This window comes from Homo sapiens, chromosome 4 (assembly GCF_000001405.40).
Source record: "Homo sapiens chromosome 4, GRCh38.p14 Primary Assembly".
NCBI classification, from domain to species: domain Eukaryota; kingdom Metazoa; phylum Chordata; class Mammalia; order Primates; family Hominidae; genus Homo; species Homo sapiens.
In genome coordinates, this window is record NC_000004.12 from 13638392 (window position 1) to 13659943 (window position 21552).

Consider the following 21552-nt stretch of genomic DNA (forward strand, 5'->3'; position numbering starts at 1 on the left):
AAGTGCAATGCAAAGCCCCTAAAAAATTTTAAAGTGGGGAGTGGCATGACTTCATAACAGAATTAAGGAGCTCATTGCCAGTCTTGGCACAAGAGAAACACCCAAGTGTATGTTAGCTGTTGCCATTTCATTTAATCCTCACACCAGCCCTATGTAATGGCTACTATGAAAGGAAATTATCCCAAACCTGAGCTGGAGCAGAACTTTGTAGGCTAATAGGATTTTCAGCCTCTTTGGGAAGGATCTAGCATTCCTGATAAAGCACTGTAGTATTTTTCTGATAGTTTTTTTTTTTTTTGAGTTGGAGTCTCGTGCTGTCACCTGGGCTGGAGCACAGTGGCGCGAGCTCGGCTCACTGCAACCTCTGCCTCCCAGGTTCAAGCGATTCTCCTGCCTCAGCCTCCCGAGTAGCTGGGATTACAGGCGCCCACCACCATGCCCAGCTAATTTTTTGTATTTTTAGTAGAGAAGGGGTTTTGCTATGTTGGCCAGGCTGGTCTCGAACTCCTGACCTCATGATTCGCCCACCTTGGCCTCCCAAAGTTGTAGGATTACAGGCGTGAACCACCATGCCTTCCTTGCCTTTCTGATAGATTTTAATGAGATTTAGAGTCCTTCTGGGCAGCTAGATTGGCACCACTGTGCTGTTATTTTTTAGATGTGTTCAGTAACCTTTAATCAGACATTTAAGGACACAACACTCTTTAAGCCTTATGCTGTCCTAATAACCTTTAAACCAGATATTCCTCTTTTCAAACGCCAGTTGAATAGTATTTATTAAGTCATTTTTTCTCCCAAAAGTAAATTTTTGAACTAGTTTTTTTTGAAGTCTCTTCCCTTCCACCAAGTTTGAAATAAAATGTTTGTCAATATTCCATTGAATTTATCTGAGAAACTGCTTTGACAGTATTATTAATATCACTATTTTACAGACAAGAAAACCATAGCCTGTGCATTTAAGCACTCCATCGTACTTTCCCCCAGGAAGAGCAAATTAACCCAGCATTCTAGGAAGCAACAAAGCAAATCTGAACCCGAGAGGTCTCAGTATCCAGTAAAAAAAAAGAAGCACTCATTTCTTTTACTGGAATCCCATTATTATCTGTTTTATTTCATATTGATTTGTAAAGACTGGTAGTCTGTGATTCATTGGGGCCTTCTTTTTGCCCCCAAGACGTATGTGTGCAGTTCATTCTCACTCTGCTTTCTAACTTTTAAAAGTTCTAATTTGCTCTTTCAGTAACTGAACCCAATCTTGACTTGGGTGAAACTTTTCTCCAGTTTATCAAGAGCCATTTAATCTATTTTTATGGTCTAGAGTGCCACTTCCTTGAATCTTCAGCCCATCAAGGCTGGAGCTTTAATTCATTAGTGTATATGGCTTATGGCAATCAACTCAACCAGATTGTGTGGGTCTGCTGAGCTGAAGTAAATTACTCATTGGTTCTTGTGAGAAGAACCTTGAATGAGATCACTGAGGGATGCTAAAACAATCTGGATGCTTTTGGACTGGAGGATGGGGGATCCCTTTTCTAACTAACAAGCATTATATTCTTAGAATGAAATCAATTCCATGGTGTACTGGAGTCAGTTCAATCAACTCCTGTTACATTTTCAGGAAATTTGTGAAATAGTTCATGACGACTTTGTAGCTTTAAAATGGCCATGGTGGCTGTATTTATGCCACAAAAACTGGCAAATGCCACAGATCAGGGCTTTCTTTCCCCATAGAGTCTGTTTTTAAACACTTAGCAATGTTACCCAAACAAAACTAGGGTTAATTTTCCTGGCAAGCAACCAACAACTCTCCACGAGAACACAGGTTTCGATCCATAGGAGTGTTATTACTCATCACAAGTAAGGAGAGCACTGGGAGTGTTCTCCAAAGCAGTGTCTCCCTGAGGGAAAGTGACAGGAGAGTTTTATGGGGCGATGGAGGGGGAGAGAGTGCGTCATCTCATGCAGGGAAGGGGTCCCAGTGGCGCAGATGCAGTGAGTCATCATGCCAGCACATAGGTCCTCTGCTTTATAGCTCCTTCTGGGCGGGAGACATTAGCATGGTAATGAGGAAAGTTCACTTGGGTTCATCTGTAAGTTGCTAGGGTCTGTCAGAAACTGGTTTCAACTGACTAGGGGACTGCATTCCACACAGGGCCTGAAACAAACAGGCTGTTAAGAGAGGGAGCTGTAAAGCAGGTGCTTTGGTAAAGCCGGTTGAGTTCCTATAGTCTCTGGAGACCTTCTCAATCTGCTTATAGCAGTACACCAGTGCAAGTGCCTTGCAGGTTCTCCTTGTTTTTTTCCTAGTTATAGGACAAGGAGAAGATAGGGAAAGAGGGGAGGCTGCCAATAGGCTTTTTTTTTTGGCTTCTTGCCTGCATTTTTACTGCCATCAGAAACTGCCAGAAGTTCTGTAGTCAAATCGACCCCACACTCCTAGTAACAAATGAGGTTTGCTATCATTTTTCCCCCTAGGGTTGAATACCAGCTCCATAACTACTTGCTTTGGGACTTGGGCTGATCAGTTTACTTACATCTCTAGGGCTCAGTTTCATCATCATTACAATAAGAATAATACCACCAACCTCATTGTGTGTAGATGTATCTGTGTGTGGGCTGTGGGGTGGGGGGTGTTGGGGATGGGATGGGGTGGTAAATGATATGGTTCCCATTAAAGTCTTTGCTGAAGACTTGGTGCATTGGCTGTCAATAAATAATAGCTCTAATTATATTATTCAGTAAGTTCTCACACATGCTCAGAGGTAATAAAAGAAAAACTTCATCCAAATTAAATTTAAAAGAGTTTAATTGAGCAATGAACAACTTGCGAATCGGGCAGCCTTCCCAGCCAGAGTAGGCTCGGAGACTCCAGCACAGCCACGTGGTGGAAAAAGATTTATGGACAGAAAAAGGAAAGTGATGCCCAGAAAATGGAAGTGAGGTGCAGAAAACAGAAGTGAGTTACAGAATTGGTTTGGCTACAGCTTGGTGTTTGCTTTATTTGAACATGGTTTGAACAGTTGTACATTTGCTTGACCAAAACTCGTGACTGGCACAAGTGTAGGTTATGGTCGTTTACACCTCCACTTGTTATAGTTCATGATGTACAGAGAAATCCTTAGGCTGAACTTAAAATATGTAAGGAGGCAGCTTTATGCTAAACTTGATTTAACAGAAGTCACTTGTAAACGACTATTTCATAAAGGCCTTTCTGGTAATGTCTGATGCCTCTGAACCAGTCTGATCTGCAGCATTTTCCCACTGAGGTCTCTCTCTCTCTCTCAATATCTCGCTCTCTCTCTCCCTCTGCTCTATGTGGGCTGGGAGCCCCATTACAGGTGTGATTCCAGTACATTCCAAGTCACACCGGGCACATACTTTCTCCATTCCTTTCAGTGCCTGCCTTCCAGTGATACCCCAAGTGTATTGAGCTTGACAACTTTTTCAGCTATAAATAAGTGGTGGTGGGAGGAAGGGGTGGGTGTGAGAAGAGACTTTTCTTGAAATATGTTGATTTAGGCTGGATGGCTTTTCATTGACATGCAGAAGTAGTATTTTGTGTCTGTATGCAAGATTCCCCCTTTATTTACTGCAAGGATGTTTTTTTCAGGTCAAGGAGAAAGCTGAGGTTGGAGAAGGTGTGCTTTTCTCCTCCCTTTTGTCTGTCAGTTTCTCTCCTCATTCTCCAGAATCCCCAAGAGACCATGTTAGAGTTAAATCAATATGTGGTCAGCAATCAGACAGACCTGAATATGACATGTGATTCTGCTACTTATCAGCTGAATGACCTTGTGATGGTCATCTGAATGTCTAATCTTTAGCTTCCTGGTCTACAAAATGCATCTCTCTTTTTTTCTCTTTCTCTGTCTCTCTCTTTATCTGTCTTGGGTTAGCTCTGTACTTCACAACCTGGCTACACATTATATTTACTTGGGGAGCTTTTCAAAAATAGTTAATTCCTGGGCTCTGCTCCAAAAGACTGATTCAATTGGACTAGGTTTCAGCACAAACATCCATCTATTTTAGAAACTCTCTGTGAAATACTATGTGTAGTGAGTGTTAAGAACTGCTGAGCTTCTCTTATTAAGCCTCTCTGGACCCCATCTGGCCCCCATGCTCATTACCTGGATGTCCCTGGACCACAACAGCTTATGTAAATACAAAATACAAAACAATTCACTGCTAACCACTGCTAACAGTCACTTTGTAACTCCAACCCTCCACCTGCTCAGATTGGCAGGCAGTGCAGTCATCTCTAACTTCTTGTCTTCAGGAGCCCTTTCATGGAATGCCCAAGAACCCCTGTTGGTGCTCTGCAGATGAGAAAAATAGCTACTGAGATCCTTGTTCCCTTGCTGAAGCTGGAAGGCCTCGTGGTCTGGAGAAATGCCAGCTTTTGCTGTGGTTCATCTGAGAACAGTGGATGCTGGTCTTTCTCTGGGTAATCCTTGGTCGAGAATACTCTCCCCAATTGGCCTGGGTTGCCAGGGAAGAGAGTATTAGAAACTGCTTTGACAGTATCATTAATATCATCATTTTACAGACAAGGAAACAGAAGCTTAGAAATGGTAAGTTGATCAATGTCATAAGAGGTAACCTGACCTGACCATAAGACCTGACCATAAGAGATCAGGTCTTCCACTTCACCCAAGTGAAGCCAGGCTTCCCAAGGCACAGCTCAGCACCTGCGGAGCCACATTGCAGTGAGTTACAGCACCATCCACTTACTGCCTAGAACCAGCATTTTGTTCCAGAAACATAGGTCTGGGTTGCCCAGACCACACTCCCTCTTCCTCTTGGTGATTTTCTTTCATTTCTTCCCACCACCTGGCCCCAGGTGGGTCCACTCGTGTCCATCAGATGTGTTCTAATAAATAGTTAAATACTAAACTCTCTTCTTCCGGAAGCGTCCTTGGTTCCTTCTACATATATGTGTAGATTCATATATGTAAAAAAAGTATGAAAAAGGATCTTTCATCAATTTACTTATCAGCTTCTTCTAAACCCATGCTGTTTCCAAGCTGCATATCCAATAATAAAAAGTCCCTATTCCAAAACCAGTGGGTAGGAATGAAATTACTTTACCCGGGTGTAACTCAAAGGGATCACTAAGTGATTATTTCCAGAACAATGGGACGACTCCAAAGGTAAGTTCAAGTTTTCACCATGAACATATAAAACACCCAGGTTTTCTTAGTTTCAACCAGTTTTAGGATTCATTCTCCGCTAGTCAACTCATTATATATAAATGCCGTTGATATGAATGTTGATCTCCCGGGGTTGTTGAGAATAATACATGAGATAAGATGTAGATAGATCAATTTGCAATATTTTATTACTGACACTGTTGCTAATTGGTTAAGCTAATCAGCATCTCATTAGAATTGCCCCTGTGGGCAGTGAACGTCCCTCCTCCTGCTCCTCCTGCCCCCTTCTTGTAGTCAGTGTAGTGGCCCTGACCTCTGGTCAATACAATCCAGTGGATTCCAGGTTCTCACCACATCACCACTAAGATTATGGTCACAGTAACCAGGGTGATGGGGCCTCTGCATTGAAATGCAGGGTTGTGGGATCAGTGGTACTTGCTCTCTTGCTGTCTCCTGCTTTGGTTATGAGAGAAATTCAAGAAAGCGGCTCTTGCTCAGGTAAACTTCGGGTTGGTTCCTGAGCATTGGTTTTCCTCTGGATTGGCCTAAAGGTCTTCAGGGGTTGAGGAGAATACTGGAGAAGGTCTGTATTCATCCATGTTCTCCAACAGAGTAAAGCCAAAACACTAAGTACTGGAATTATTCTGTACTTGCCTTCCCTAATGGAAGTGTAGTACTGTCTCTTGATTTTCATGGAGCTCCTTGCCTCTGCCCTCTATTAGTTAGGAATCTGGAAGGGAGGAGGGTTGTACTTAGCATTACTAAATAGACAATAGTTCTCCTGATTGAAAGACTAAAACACTTCCAACCTGGAGTTTTACTGACCATTGATTTTTTTTTTTTTTTTTTTGGAGACAGGGCATCACTGTGTCACTCATGCTGGAGTGCACTGGTGGTGCCATCTTGGCTTACTACAACCTCTGCTTTCCAGGCTCAAGCTATCCTCCTAACTTAGCCTCCTAAGTTGCTGGGACTATAGGCATGTGTCACCACACCCAGCTAATTTTTGTATTTTTCATACAGACAGGGTTTTGCCAAGTTGCCCAGGCTGGATCATTGACATTTTAAGAAATGTGTGCATGTCTGTAAAAGGGGAGGTCAGTTTGGGATCCTCCCTCATGGATGATGTGGGTTTGATTACCTAAGGAAACTGGCTTATCTCTCTTATGGGTGGTCGCATAATATTCAGGAGGTGGTACTGACTAGGCTCACTCAATGATTGACTGGGTGAAGCAGGAAGGAAGAGGGGAGCTATCCAGGTAGACAGGTTTCCTCCAGAGCAAGAGTTGGCCGACCTCAGCCAACAGGTCAAATCTCACCTGCTGTCAGCATTTATTAACTTTTTATTTTGAAATGATTTAAGACGCAGCTGCCACTTGTGTTATAAATAAAGTTTTATTGGAATATTACAACTCTTACTTGTTTACATATTGTCCATGGCTGCTTTCATGCTACAATGACAGAATTGAATAATTGCAATAAGAACTTATTTGTACCCTCTGGCTCTTTATGAAAAAGGTTTCCTGATTCCTGTTCCAGAGTCAAAGATGCTTCTCAATCAAAAATACTCCCCCAAATTGCCGTATATTTCATAATCTCCCTCACTGTGACCCAAAGGCCACAAAACCCTTGTAGAACCAGAGAACACAGGGTTGGAAGGGGATATTAGTGGTCATTCAGTGCAATTCCTCATATGAGGCCAGAATCTCCCAATGGTGCCCCTTCAAGCAATCCCCTAGTGGTGGAGGCACATCATTGTGTGTAGTGGTCAACTCAGCTTTTTGGGGGAAGTTCTGGTTGTTGGAAAATGATTTCTTATATTGAACTAGGCTGTGGTGGATGAGAAAAACTATTAAAGTGTTATTATTTATGACCCCCTCTCCAGCCTTTGAAGGAGGAAGACTTCATCACCAGCAGAATGGGCTGCACTGCTTGTGTTGTATGGATCAGCACGATGGATGGGTAGGAGACCTGAAGATGCTTCAATGGCAAATTTGCTCTACATGGAGATGCTGGATGTCCCTAGACATAAAGACCCCACAAAGATGCTAGAGGGGCATGGCTGGACAGCGGTGGGTGAGGGAGGAGCTGCAGGTGAGAAAGGAATCAAGGTGTAGAATTTGTATCAAATTATTCTTCAAAGCTTCTCAGGTAGGATTTGGACATTTGGGTGCATTTCTAGATGCTTCAGCCAGTTGAAGAAAACTGGGGAAACAAAGGTGTCCACATGGTGCAGGTGCATTTGGGTTGTGTCTGTCAGCTTGACGCTCCCATGCATTGGTCTTCTATTCTCAGTCCAAACAACTTTCAGCCCGAGTAGCACCCTAGCAATTAATTGTCCAAATTCTACCTCATTGCCTTTCTACCTAGCCACAGATTGCCTCTCCTCTCAGCTCAAATGTTTCTTCAAACCAGTAGGTGTGGAGGGAGAGAGGTGGAGGAAGATTATGTGCCATCTTTTTGGCCCATGTTGAAGATTTTCCAGGGTACAGGGTAGTGCCGTGATCTCTAGATGTGCATTAAGGACTTTGGCTTCCAGATCTATTATGCAGTAACTTTCTGTGCAACCTCTTGTCATCATTTCTCTTCTTCATGCTTTAATTTACTTTTCTGTAAAACAAAAGCTGGAGCTGGAACAGAGTTTCAAATTTTTTTTTTTTTTTTGAGACAGAGTCTTGCTGTTTTGCCAGGCTGGAGTACAGTGGCACATTCTCAGCTCCCTGCAACTTCTGCCTCCTGGATTCAAGTGATTCTCCTGCCTCAGCCTCCTGAGTAGCTGGGACTACAGGCACATGCCACCACACCCGGCTAATTTTTTGTATTTTTAGTAGGGACAGGGTTTCGCCATGTTGGCCAGGCTGGTCTCGAACTCCTGACCTCAGTCAATCTGCCCACCTTGGCCTCCTAAAGTGCAGGGATTACAGGTGTGAGCCACTGTGCCTAGCCTCAAATGCTTCTTCTTGAGCCTTGAGCCAAGTGACCTCTGGGGTCTTGAGCAAGGTGGTCAGCAATGTAGATGCTAAGAGGCCAGATTTCCCAGCCGCCCTGGCCTGCTTTCTTCAGAGCAGTTATCTATTGGACAGATTGGGGTCCATTAAAACCCCAAAGTATTTCCACTGCTAAAAAACAAGCCTAGAATCCAATGGATTATCAGTCTTTCTCAAGGTGTGGGACAGGTCCCATTAGGGAGATACAAGCTTATATGTGATACATGGATGAACATTTTAAGTTTTCATAGTTATATTTATTTTAAAGTCTATTAGGAAAAAAATATAAACATCACATCAAATATGTGATTTCTTTGATATTATTGATTAAGATGAGGCTACATTTAATTGAATAAGTGAGCTTACTTGAAGGAAGAGAATAAGTAAGTAATAGTACAGGTGGTATAGGATTATGGCCAACATGATTGACATTTGGGAAAATGGGCAAAGTGACCTCCACAGGCCCTCCTGGCTCTGACATTCTAGCATTCCTTCTCCTCCCCATCTTTTCTCTTGTTTCCTCTCTGTGGTCATGTCCTCCTCAGCGGAGAGGGCATTACAATGTGTACTTTCAGATTCAAAACAGTGGCCTTGACATGCGTGAGGTCTGTGCTCGGTGTGTCCCCTTGGCCCTCCCTACGAGAGCTTTACTTTGGTCAGGGAGCAGCTCTGTTTTCCCACCTTCAGTTTCTGATGAGGTACATGAAACCCACAGGAAGCAAACCAAAGTGAAAGCAAGAAAAACAAGGCTTGGCAGAGAGCGGCTATCCGCACTTCACTTGGAATTAGAGAAGGTGCTTTTGGCTCCATTAGCAGAATCCCTAATGTGCTTGTATTTGAAAAGCCAGTCTGCAGAATTAGCAGCCAGTGAATTGTTAGTCTTGCAGGCTGTTGATTCTGTCTTGCTCTTTTTTAACCATCAGAACTCACTTATTTTTATTTACTTTTTGGCATGAAATAATTTCCTATATCCTCTTTTTAACTCACTTCTAATAGGATAACACATCTATTTTTCTCATTCTGAATTCTGGATGATTTTATTGTTGAGGGAAGACAGTAGATATTGCATATCTACTTTCTTTTTTCTGTTTTGTGTGTGTGTGTGTGTGTGTGTGTGTGTGTGTGTGTTTACAGTTTTATTTAAACACAAAACATGCGCATGAGCTGCTTACTCATTTTCTTCACTGCACAGCCTGGCATTGGGGTTGGTGACTCTGATGGCCAGCGGGGTGGCCCTTTCCATGATGGCTTTGCGGTTCAATTAAATGTAGCCTCATCTTAATCAATAATATCAATGAAATCACATATCTGATGTGATGGTTATATATTTTTTCCTAATAGACTTTAAAATAAATATAACTATGAAAACTTAAAATGTTCATGCATGTATCACATATAAGCTCGTATCTCCCTAGTGGGACCTGCATCACACATTGAGAAAGACTGATAGTTCATTGGATTCTAGGCTTGTTTTTTTATCAGTGGAAATACTTTAGAATTTTAATGGACCTGAATCTGTCCAACAGATAACTGCTCCAAAGAAAGCTGGCCAGGGTTGTTGGAGGAAACATTGTGAGCAATCTCAGCACAGTAAGATTTGTTGCACATCAGCAGCACTTCCTGCTCCTTGACCTTGTGGGCCAGGAACTTCTGGAAGCCACTGGGCAGCATATGCTTTGTTTTTTTGTTGCTCCCATAAGTAATGTTGGGCATCAAGATCTGGAGCTTGAACCTTCTATGAACCCTGTTGTCACTACCTCTGGGTTTCTGCCAGTCACGCTTAATTTTGACATATCAGTCTGACCGGTGCCCGATGAATTTCTTGGTTCTCTTTTTGACTATTTTGGGCTTCACAAGGGGTATGAAGGTGGCCATGATGCTGAGGAGGAGATGGCTGCCGCCTCCATAGGCAGTGCCAAGGAAGAGAGAACATATTTACTTTCTTAATGTTGGACTTGCACTGGGTGTCCACAGTTGATGAAGTGTGGCATGCCATGGTGGACAGACCTTGGGCATCTGGGGCAGGCAAACCTGGATTTAAACTTGGCTTAACCGTCCGTCATCTGTGGACAGGCATTTCTTATTTAAATAAGCTTGATTTTTTTATTTCTTAACAAGAATTATGCTTTTTTTCCCCCCACATAATTTTTTTTTTTTTTTTTTTTTGAGATGGAGTCTCTCTCTGTTGCCCAGGCTGGAGGGCAGTGCTGCGATCTCGGCTCACTACAAGCTCCACCTCTCGGGTTCATGCCATTCTCCTGCCTCAGCCTCCTGAGTAGCTGGGACTACAGGCACCCGCCACCACGCCTGGCTAATTTTTTTTGTATTTTTAGTAGAGACGCGGTTTCACCGTGTTAGCCAGGATGGTCTCGATCTCCTGACCTTGTGATCTGCCTGCCTGGGCCTCCCAAAGTGCTGGGATTACAGGCATGAGCCCCCACAGAATTTTTTGTGTGTGGATTTAAGAGACGACGTGTAAAAAAATCTCCAGCTTCAGTGTGTTGAGTTTAGATGTGAAATAAATATCAGCTCTTTTTTCATTTCTCACAAGCTTGACAAGTGCTTGTACCAGATACTACAGCCAAAGCAAAGATGAATATGACATAGGCCAGGATGGCAAATAAGTTTTCTTTCATGCCCAGCTCTCATGAAGTGGTGCAGCCTCAGGGAGTACTGTGTTGAGATGGATTTTAAGGGTCAGCAGGGAAGAGTGACATAGTAGATTAGCCATATCCTTCAAGGCTCAGGAGGGGGCATTGAGGAACACAAATGTCACAAATTTGCCATCACTGACACAGCTTTGTTTTGGGAAGTCAGAGCTAATGGAGTGTGAAATTTGTCTAGAAGAAACAAATAGCTATTGAAAATAAGGAGAGTGGTAGACACTTTTACACGTGTTATGTCTACACGTGTTATGTCTTGAATGCACTCAACAAACCAGAGAGGGATGAATTACTCTTTGCAGGACAGTGCTCCAGGTGGCCTTGGACCAACCCAGATTTTACTCCTTTTCCACTTGTAGTTCTTGAGAATAACTGTAGAATGTGCCAGGAATGTAGCATCTGAGATAAAGAGGGAGATGGCTGGAACAACCTGAGTTCTGTTCCAGTCCTGCCCCGACCTCCTAAAGAAAAAGGGTGTCCTCTGCATGTTCTCACTCATAAGTGGGAGTTGGAGTTGAACAATGAGAACATGGACACAGGGAGGAGAACATCACACACCGGGGCCTGTCGGGGGTGGGAGACTAGGGGAGGGATAGCATTAGGAGAAATACCTAATGTAAATGATAGGTTGATTGGTACAGCAAACCACCATGGCATGTGTATACCTATGTTACAAACCTGCATGTTCTGCACATGTACCCCAGAACTTAAAAGTATAAAAAAAAGAGAAAGAAACAGGGTGTCCTTCAGTGCTTTAGCCCAGCATGTCATGTGACCATAGGGAATACAACCCAGGGTGGGCTGCTTTCTCTGGTTCGTTAGCTGCGGTGCAACTAGAGCACAGGCAGACGAAGCATCATCTGCCTTAGGAAGCTTTTCTGAGCCTTGGGGGCCCACTTACAATGAATCCCAGGCTTCTGTTATCCTTGCTTCCTATGTATAAGTAATAAATCGGCTTCATTTAACTTGTGTGTGAATGTGTTCTGTCTCACTGCACCCAGACAAGTTGGCAACCAGTGCATAGTGATCTGCTTCCCATTATTCTCATGCTGTATGAAAGAAAATGAAATCATAGACAAGGTAAGTCATTTTCTCAAGATCTTACAAAGTAAGAAGTGGTAAGAAGAATCTGAGATTTGGACCCAGATGCCTGATTCCAGAAGCCTTTTGTTTGTGACTATTTAAACTCGGGTGTTCAAATGGAGTCTTAAAAAAAACAAACAGGTAAAATGTCGGTACTTTAAGGTGTGTCCAAGTGCACTGATCTTAAGTGCTCAGCTTGATGAACTCTTTCTTTTTCTTTGAGATGGAGTTTTGCTCTTATTGCCCAGGCTGGAGTGCAATTGCATGATCTTGGCTCACTGCAACCTCTGCCTCCTGGGTTCAAGCAATTCCCCTGCCTCCACTTCCCGAGTAGCTGAGACTACAGGTGTGCACCACCACACACAGCTAATTTTTTGTACTTTTAGTAGAGATGGAGTTTCACTATGTTGGCCAGGCAGGTCTTGAACTCCTGATCTCAGATGATCTACGCACCTCGGCCTCCCAAAGTGCTGGGATTACAGGCGTGAGCCACTATGCCCAGTCTAGCTTGATGAACTTTTAATTAGTTGTATATACTTGTGTAACCATCACTCATACCATGACATAGAACTTTCTTACCTTTCCAGAAGCTTCTCTTGGGTACCTTCCTGGTCAAAAATGTCTCCAGGAGGTGTGCTACTATTCTGATACTTACCACCATCAATTAATTTTGACTTTTCTTCAATTTCATACAAGTGGAATTATATAGTATTTTCATTTTTGTGTCTGATTTCTTTCTTCAACATAATGTCTATGAGATTCATCCATGTTGTCATGTTAGTAGTTGTTTTTTAAAATTACTTTGTAGTACTCCATTTTATGAATACACCATGATTTATTTATCCCTTCTCCTCTTGAGTGACATTTGGGTTGTGCAGTTTTTGGTTATTATGAACAAAGCTTCTATGAACTTGCTTATAATGTCTTTGGGTGGGCATGTGACCTTATTTCTCTTTAGCATATACCTAGTAGTGAAACTGCCATAGTTTAGGTGGATATTTAACTTTAGTAGATATGAGCTACTATGGTCTAAATGTTGGTGTCCTAATGAAATTCATATACTGAAACTTAATCATCAGTGTGATAGTATTAAGAGGTGGGGCCTTTTTAAGGTGGTAAGGTTATAAGATAAGGGTGGAGCCCTCACAAATGGGATTAATGCCCTTAGTAAAGAGATTTGAGGGAGTCCTTTTGCCTATTTGAGTGTGTGAGGACACACAGAAGGTGCCATCTATAAGGAACGGGCCCTCACCAGACACCAAATCTGCTGGTGCTTTATCTTGGACCTCTCAGCCTCCAGAGCTACGATCACTACATTTCTGTTGTTATAAATGAACAAATCTATGGTATTTTGTTATAACACAAGCAAGAGACTAAGACATAGACATTTGCTTTTTACCGGGAATGCTTCACAAGGTCAGAGACTCAGGTCGTCTTATTCTCTGCTGTGTCCCCAGAATCCACAGCAGTACCTGGCTCAAAGTCAGTGCTAATAAGTCATTCTTGATTAAATTAATATATCTGTATCTTGGGCATCCTGATTCTTGGCTTTGTATTAGGACTTTTGTTTCAGTGAATAGAGAAGTTAGAACCTTTCTCCTTGCACCCAGAATTCCTCCTTGCACCCAGAATTCCTCTTTTGAAACAAGTATCTTTTAATACCTCCTTAAATATCTTGAAGTGAAGTTCACAGATAATACAACCTGTTTACACATGTATTTTATTTTTAATCAATATGGTATCCTAACCATTCTACAAAAGAAAACTCTAAAGAAAATAATTTATAATAAGGTAATGAGTGTTTCAATATACAAATAACTGGGGAATACTACACTCAAAGGCCTCATGAAATACACAGACATTTGTGACTATATCGATAATCAGTACAAATGCAAAGTGAGAGGCGATGTTCTGCTAATGCATATCATGTTTTGCACTGTTGTTGGTGATATGATTTACCAAATAGTGACCAACTCCTGGTAAAATTTATCATAAAATAAAGTACAATCTTTCTTCAATTGACTCTGGAAAATTCATTGGATATTAAAATGGTATAAGAATGTTTTGTTTTTAGATGTAAAATGGAGCAAGGTTCTACATTCACATAACTTTTTCAACTACACAGATATTTTCTGGGACATGTAGGGCATTTACTCACCTTGGTCCTCAACCATGAAATACCATTGAGTGCCCTCTCATCATAGCACCAACTATCCCCACACTTTTCCAAAATATCCTTGGGTGTGGTGCCACCCCTACAAAAACCCTGATTCTAACTCAGCTCTCTCATTTTACAGTTGAAGGAATCATCCCTTTGGGGAGGGAAGAATTACTCTCTGGAAAACATAGGGATTTAAACATAAAGACTGGACCAGGACCGCAGACTTCTGACTTCTTAGGCTAAATCCCAGTTGTATCCACCATAGCAATTGAAGCCAAGGATTAGAGTCAAGTAGGCTTGGGATCAAATCCTGGCTCTGACCTTGGGAAAACTGCTTCATCTTTTCGAGCCTCTGTTTCATCATTTGCATAAATGAGATTAAAAATAGCATTTACCTTAAAGAATTGTTATGAGGACTAAGAGAGGTTATGACTTTGAATTCTTGGCACATAGTGAACTCTTAATTAATGGTAGCAATTATCACACTGCTATTCCTCCCTTTAAAGCTCATTCATTTAAGTGCCAACAGAAATTGTCATATCCTAGAGAACTTCTATACTGGAACTTTTTCCTCTGTAGAGAAATACTTGTTTATCATTTGTTTCCAATACTTCAAATCATTCCTTTTCAGGTCAAGGCCTCCTTCTAATCTCTCCATTTTCCTCCAAGATGGCCTGGGCCAAATTTAAGGGAAAAATGTCTTGAGCAGAGTAGCTTGGAGCATTCTCATACCTTGACTCTTACTTAAAGAAAGGAAGAAGAAACTTTGGGGCTTTGATTTGGTTTGAAAAGGAGGAAGGGAGGTGATATTGAGCACTTATTTTGAGCACTTATTTTGTACCAAGTGCATAGCAGGTGGTCTATTTTGTTTCATTCTCTCAAGAATAGTCCCTGTGAGGTGGACTGTTTATTATCACCTCCATCTTGCAGATGAGAAAGTGGAGACTCTAAGCTGATAAAACCCTTTCTTGAGGTCATACAGAGCCAAGATTAAAATATTAACAAAAAATAAAATTCTAGAGCCCCTCCAAGCATCTGAATGGACCCCTTCTTGGCCAGGGCACTCCAAAGTTAACCTGAAAAACTGGTTCAGGCCATGACGGGAAGGGGTGTCAGACATGTCTCGTTATACCCTACTCTCTTTAGGAATTCAGGAAACGTGGCCAGCATTTAACATCAACACAGACCTTAAGTCTGATAAGAAACATTTACATTCTATTCTCTCTGAAGCCTGCTACCTGGAGGCTTCATCTGCGTGATAAAACCTTGGTTTCCACAACTTCTTATTGTAACCGAGACATTTCTTTCTAGAGATAGTAACTCTTTCAACCAATTGACAAATCAGACAAATTTTAAATCTACCTACAACTGGAAGCAGACCTCCCCACTTTCCCTTTTCTGGACTGAAACAATGTATGTCTTAAATGTATTTAATTGAAGTCTCACGTCTCCCTAAAATGTATACATCTAGGTGACGCCCCAATCACCTTGGGGTCATGTTCTCAGGATCTCCTGAAGGTTATGTCATGGGCCATTAGTGACTCATATTTGGCTCAGAATAAATCTCTTTAAATATTTTAGAGTCTGACTCTTTTTGTCAACAAAAATCACATCTCTGTCTGACATTGTCGTGATTTGGGTTCTTTCAAAAGCAGATCCTGAGACAAGGGTTTGAGTGCAAGTGGGACTTTGGAGGTGTATTTATCTTTTTAAAAAATTTTTTTTTGTGCCTCTCAGCTCTGAATGGACCCTTTATTAATTTATGCTCTGGGACTAACGAAGGCGTGCCTTTGAGCCCGTCTCCTTTAAGTGCGCGCGATGCTAGGCTTCCTCAGTAGAGGGCGCCGGAGGACACCGCAGCTGGAGGAGGGTTTCCGCCGGTTGTGCGGGGACCGCGGCTCAGTAGTGTGGGTGGACGAGGACAGCGGGTGGAACTGGTCCTTCTGTGACTTTGCAGCCCCGGCTTGGTGATAATTTTTGTGCAGGCTTCTTGACATGGAAAGCAGAGCTCCCCAGCACAGAGTGAGCCTCCGAAGGGCTCCTGCCCTTACCGGTGCCCTACCCTCCCTTTCCCTGCTTGCTACACTTGGGTCCGGGACTCAGCCTCCCTTTGCAAGCTTCTGCTCGGCCTGTGTGCAGCTGCACTTAGCTGGCAGGGTCAGGCGTTGAGTAGCCGCTCCGCTCCTTCTGCAGCCTCCTGCAGCCCCCGCCAGCTCCCGGGCTCCATCCCTCACCATCAGTTGCTGATTGGCGCCCCCTGCGTGCACAACGGAGGCTGGCTGCACCTGGAGGTTCCCAGCAATTCCAGGCCGGCTCCAGCCTAGCCAAAGCAGCTAACTTCTCTGCTGTCTCGTGGGCTGAACCTCACCGTTTCCCAAGAGGTCTGAATCCTTCTCAAGTTCGTCTTTTCCTAAGTTCTCCCTCGTAGCTCTAGGTTGCTTTGTAGAGTTTCCTTATATCTATACTCTTCATTGTAGTTAATGACTCTGTGTTACACTTGTCCTGTTGAACTTACTGTGTAGTTTCTGTCTCTTGACTGGATCAAGGCTCTCACAGGAGTCAATCCCAGAAAAATGATGAGACAGTAGGGAAGAGAGAAAAGCCAATAAACAGCATGTTAATGAGTAGGTCCCACCTGGGGCTCAGTCGCACTGGTGTCCCTCTGAGAGTATGGGCACCACACACTTTGGCATTGCCCCAGCAAGGCAAGGGGCAAGCAAGGGAGCTGGGTGTTTATCTCCCAGGCATTGCTTGAGGCTTGCTCTTGGGAATGGTAGCTCCCTGGAACTTCTGTCCAGCCTGCATATCTGGACTGTGCAGGGGATACTTCTATGGCCAGAAAAAGCCCTTGGGCAGAGAGAAGCAGGTTCTTGATGCTGAGATGTCTGCGTGCTTGGGAGTTGACCACTGCAGCTGCAGGTGACCTCTGGGGTGGGCCAAGGGGATGTAGGTGGGCAGTGATACATCTGCTACAGACATGTTGCAGGATGCAGGGCAGCAGAAGGAAACTGATCAGCTGGCTGCCAATGAATGGCCCAGACTGATTCAAGGGTAAATTTGCTGGAAGAAGTCCGTTGCAGAAGATCAGATGCTTTCCTGACTGGTGTAATTTAATTGTATGGTCAGTGTTTGCTATGGATAATTGGATTTTTCTTTGACCTTCACAATCTTGCTGGCTCTCTGTCCACACTGAAAGACACTTTTCTAACTCTCTCAAATGCAATAAGACTAACCTTGGCTTCCATCAGGAACTCATGGGCTTGCCATTTCCAGGAGGTGCCGATGGCTGTGGTATCCAACCAGCAAACGGCAGTGGTGTTTGTATTTTCCATTTTGCCCTTTACAAGAACATTTCAGCTGAAGCAAAAGGCTTTTTCCTTTACCCTGGGTTTTTTAATAGAAATCTTGGTGGCATTAAGCACTTTTAATTCTGAGCACTAGCCTGTAAAGTTCAAAGCTCTGTTCTGCTCTTGAACACAGCGGATACCAAGGCGAGAGATTCTAATCACAAGGAATACCAGAAAAAAAAAAATAAGCAGGAGACAAGTTTATTACGAAGGGTTGTGAACAGTATTTGTGATTAATGTGGAATGAAAAAGGTTATTTCTACATTAAAATCATTCACATTTGCAATAATTTAAACAATTTATCTGGTTTCCCCAAGTGGGGATGTGTTCTTTCCACATATAACATGCTCAGTGAAGGAAGAACAAGGAAGGTTACGCTGCCCTGAAACATATCTGGGAGAGCTTTTCGGCTCTGGGAGGATCACCAAGTTATGTTGTTAAGTGACAAAAACAATATCCGGAAGAGTGTCAAACAGCTAATTATTGTGTAAGAAGGAAAAAAAGAAGACTACATTAGTCACATTTACTTATATTTATATGAAAAGCTAATAAAAGTAGCTAGGTATACGTAAGGCAGTCAGAAACAAGACTTTTCAATTATAACTTTTATATCATTTTAATTTAAAAGTTACGCTAATATATTTCCTGTTCAAGAAACAAATAACAACATGCCCAGTGGAAAGCATCATCATTGTAATAATGTCCTAAGATCATTTTTTATGACCTTTGAAGGTAACTTAGGATAGGAAAATGCATTCCATAAAATTCAGCTGCCTGCACATAGTGAATCCTTTGCAAACCCTCGGAATAGGCTGAGGGTTTTTATATGACCATGGAATTTTTTTTTTTTTTTTTGCATCTTTGCTGCTATTCGCCATCCAGGCAGCAGGGGGAGGTGTTTCTCTGTTTTTCTTTGCGCCGCCCACGCCTTCTCCCCAACTTCATATGCAAAACTGACCAAGAATTCTCTAATTCAAATCTATGCACGAAAGGCACCACATTTTCTAGATTCATGTTGTTACTCTCTCATATCCCAAATCTGGGAGACTTGGAGCTTCCAGCAGGCTGCTAATGATTTTTCAAAAGGGGCCGATTGTTGGATTTGCTGGTGTAAAGTTTGTCCTCCCTCTTCTCTGTGCCCCTCCTTGTCACTCCACTCAGCCTTTATACATCACTTGCCATAATCGAGTCATAGAAAACGAAACTTACATTATGGAAATTCACAGCCTTTTTTTTTTTTCCACTTTGTAGATGAGACTCAGGATTTAGAAGGCAAAACAAACAAACAACCAAACAAATAAAAAAGGGATTTATTTTGGACCTTCATAAATGGTGCCAAAGTAAAAACAAACAAACAAAAGGTAAAAGAGGAAGGGACTGTTAGATGAATGTTTATCTCGGCGCCTGGTACCATACCTGCCTTACACACTCACAACGCAAGGAAGGGTGTGTCACCAGAGCCATTTTGCTAAGGAGGAGATTAAAGCTCAGAGGGGCTGAGCAACTTGCCCAAATTTATGTTGCTAGAAAATGATAGAACTGGAATTGGAAGCCAGACTGTATCTAAAGTAGAAACGTTTAAATATTTTCTTCCTATACCACACAAAATAAGCAGAAGGCAGTGTCTCTCTCTCTTTTGTCCCTGTCTGCCCCCCACAGTCTCTGTACCTGTTTTCCCACAAGGGTGTACCACCTGCTCCCTACTCCACATCGCGTCTATAAAGAGAGAGAAGGAAAAAAGGAAGTCGCTTCAAGAGCTCCCCAAATGCTCAATGGAAGTTGCTCTTTGTTGTACATGGGCAGCGATTTCTTTAGAAAAAGTAGTGACGTAGACCTGCCCGAGGTCAGCGATTCCTAGAGCAGTGGACTTGGGGAAGTGCCAGGGAAGCATTATGTTGTTTAAAAAATTGTTTTGGAGCATGTGCTTGTGCGTGTGTGTGTTTCTGAGCATATCTGTTTTCTCACAGGAGCTGCCTGGCAATGGTAGCAGGTGAAGGTCATGGTGAAGAAGATGCAGATATTGGCAATTTGGAGCATTAGATGAACTAATTACAACGTTAACCTAAGGAACAGTGGTGAGACCATTTTATCCAAAGTGAAGTTCTTGAGAGAGATCTTGGGTGGCACCTAGCCTCTGTATTAGATAAAATGGACATCCCTTGGGAGAGAATGTGGCTCTTTTCTATTCTGATTAGGGCAAAAAGAGTCTCCTTTGATGCCAACATGACCTTAGTGCCTTTAAACATATACTATGCTGCCATTTCCACAGAGAGGGACAAGCAGCAGCTTGGGGTCCTTGGGCAGGCAGTGGGGCCCAGCCAAAATTTTCTTAGATTGCTTTATTTTCCTTTAATTATGATTACATGTATAGCAAATGATTATGGTTTTCTATTTGTGATAGTGATAAGGGATGCCTTTTAAATATATGTATTTAAGTAAAAAGGTTAATTTACCCAGCACTTTGGGAGGCCGAGGTGGGCAGATCACGAGGTCAGGAGATCGAGACCATCCTGGCTAACACGGTGAAACCCCATCTCTACTAAAAATAGAAAAAATTAGCCAGGCGTGGTGGCGAGCACTTGTAGTCCCAGATACTTGGGAGGCTGAGGCAGGAGAATGGCGTGAACCCAGGAGGCAGAGCTTGCAGTGAGCTGAGATCATGCCACTGCACTCCAGCCTGGGCGGCAGAGCGAGACTCTGTCTAAAAAAAAAAAAAAGTCAATTTAAAGAAAAACCAGTTAAGTGAATGATAGTAATGTGGAGATGTGAAAAAAAGGATGAAAGTGTCACTAAAATAATTCAAATATGTGGGCTGGGTGCAGCAGTTCACACCTGTAGGCCCAGCCCTTTGGGAGGCCGAGGTGGGTGAATCACTTGAGCCCAGAAGTTCGAGACCAGCCTGGGCAACAAAGTGAGACCTTCTCTGTACAAAAAAAATGAACAAAATTAGCCTAGTGTAGTGGTGAGCACATGTAGTCCCAGGTACTTGGGAGGCTGAGATGGGAAGAGCATTTGAGCCCAGGAGGTTGAGGCTTCAGTGAGCCAAGATTGTGTCACTGCACTCCAGCCTGGGAGACAGAGTGAGACGCTGTCTCAAAAAATAAGGAAGAATTGAAATATGGGGATATTATTTCATTAGTGGATTAGTTTTCAGCATGTCTTCCATTTCAGACATTTTATAATTCTAATTCCATCATTTGAGAATGATGGGAAGATTAGAATCATACAATATTAGAAAAGAAAGGGATAACTGAGTCTGCCCTCCTCATTTTACAGCTGATGAAATGGAAGCTTAGAAAGATGTGACTGGTTCAAGGTCACACAGTGTTCTGTTGGCTCACATCCCATTTGTGTGTGTGCATGGGTGTGTGCACACAGGTGTATGTGTGCATGTGTGTTGATGGGAATGGGGTAAGGGAGAGAGGAGGAAAGCAGCCTAAATATCGAGCCGCCTGGGCTTTAATGTAATTCAGGTTGTCTTGGCACCACGGAGGGAAAGCGGGAAGACAGAGGGGACATTCTTTGAACAAAATGAGAACTCCTAGATAACACGGGGGTGGGGGAATATCCTGAAAATCTAAGTTTCCTGTGCGTGCTACAGCAACAAGGGTAAGAGCTAGCTGATTTCCCCCAGTAAACACAGCAGTGGCTTTTTGCTGCAGAATGTGGCGTTAAATTCAATAGGTCAGCATTAAGCTTGAACAAAATGTGATGACTGATTAGGAAATGAATGGTAAGTCATGGACAGCAGATCCTGATTATGATGATGCTTATCAACACCTCCCTTCCCCACACTGGAACAAACAAAGCTGCACAATGTCCTTGCAGGCTGACAAAACTGGACCCACATGTGCTGGTCCTGGGACAATTGAATTATGGCTATGACAGTCATCTATGAGGAAATCAGATGTCAAAGGGAGAAAGGACCCAACGACGCTTCAGGGCCTGTGCTTCTGGGGAGGGGGTACCCCTGCCTCCTCCTCACCGTGAGGTCTGCTCTGAGACCTGCTTTCCTATTGAGATTACAAAAATGAGATGTAATCCAGGATTAAAGCTCCTCTTTTCAGATGGGTCTAGGGGCCAAATGCATGGCCCAGAGTGGAAACTTAATATGTTTTTGTGGAATGAATGACCAGAAGCCTGGATAAATCAGTGGGTCTCTCA

The 21552-nt window shown here is 42.9% G+C and overlaps 1 long non-coding RNA gene and 1 pseudogene across 1 annotated transcript in view, besides 3 other annotated features; one reads left to right on the top strand and one right to left on the bottom strand.

Moving 5' to 3' along the window:
* Nucleotides 1312-1813: an enhancer, noted in NCBI's record as "H3K27ac hESC enhancer chr4:13641327-13641828 (GRCh37/hg19 assembly coordinates)". NCBI's record gives its function as "activates a minimal SCP1, AML or CMV promoter by ChIP-STARR-seq in naive H9 embryonic stem cells {active_cell/tissue: H9 hESC(naive)}" and the evidence as "EXISTENCE:reporter gene assay evidence [ECO:0000049][PMID:30033119]".
* Nucleotides 1814-2313: an enhancer, noted in NCBI's record as "H3K27ac hESC enhancer chr4:13641829-13642328 (GRCh37/hg19 assembly coordinates)". NCBI's record gives its function as "activates a minimal SCP1, AML or CMV promoter by ChIP-STARR-seq in naive H9 embryonic stem cells {active_cell/tissue: H9 hESC(naive)}" and the evidence as "EXISTENCE:reporter gene assay evidence [ECO:0000049][PMID:30033119]".
* RPL32P12 (ribosomal protein L32 pseudogene 12) lies at nt 9259-10064 on the bottom strand (annotated as a pseudogene).
* Nucleotides 16313-16362: an enhancer, noted in NCBI's record as "active region_21328". NCBI's record gives its function as "activates an Ori minimal core promoter by ATAC-STARR-seq in GM12878 lymphoblastoid cells {active_cell/tissue: GM12878}" and the evidence as "EXISTENCE:reporter gene assay evidence [ECO:0000049][PMID:35858748]".
* Nucleotides 16788-21552, top strand: part of LINC01182 (long intergenic non-protein coding RNA 1182) — a 276050-nt gene continuing 271285 nt past the window's right edge. Inside the window, exons 1-2 of the long non-coding RNA NR_121681.1 lie at nt 16788-16960; nt 19356-19463. This is a non-coding gene — a long non-coding RNA (long intergenic non-protein coding RNA 1182). The remainder of the gene's footprint in view (nt 16961-19355; nt 19464-21552) is intronic.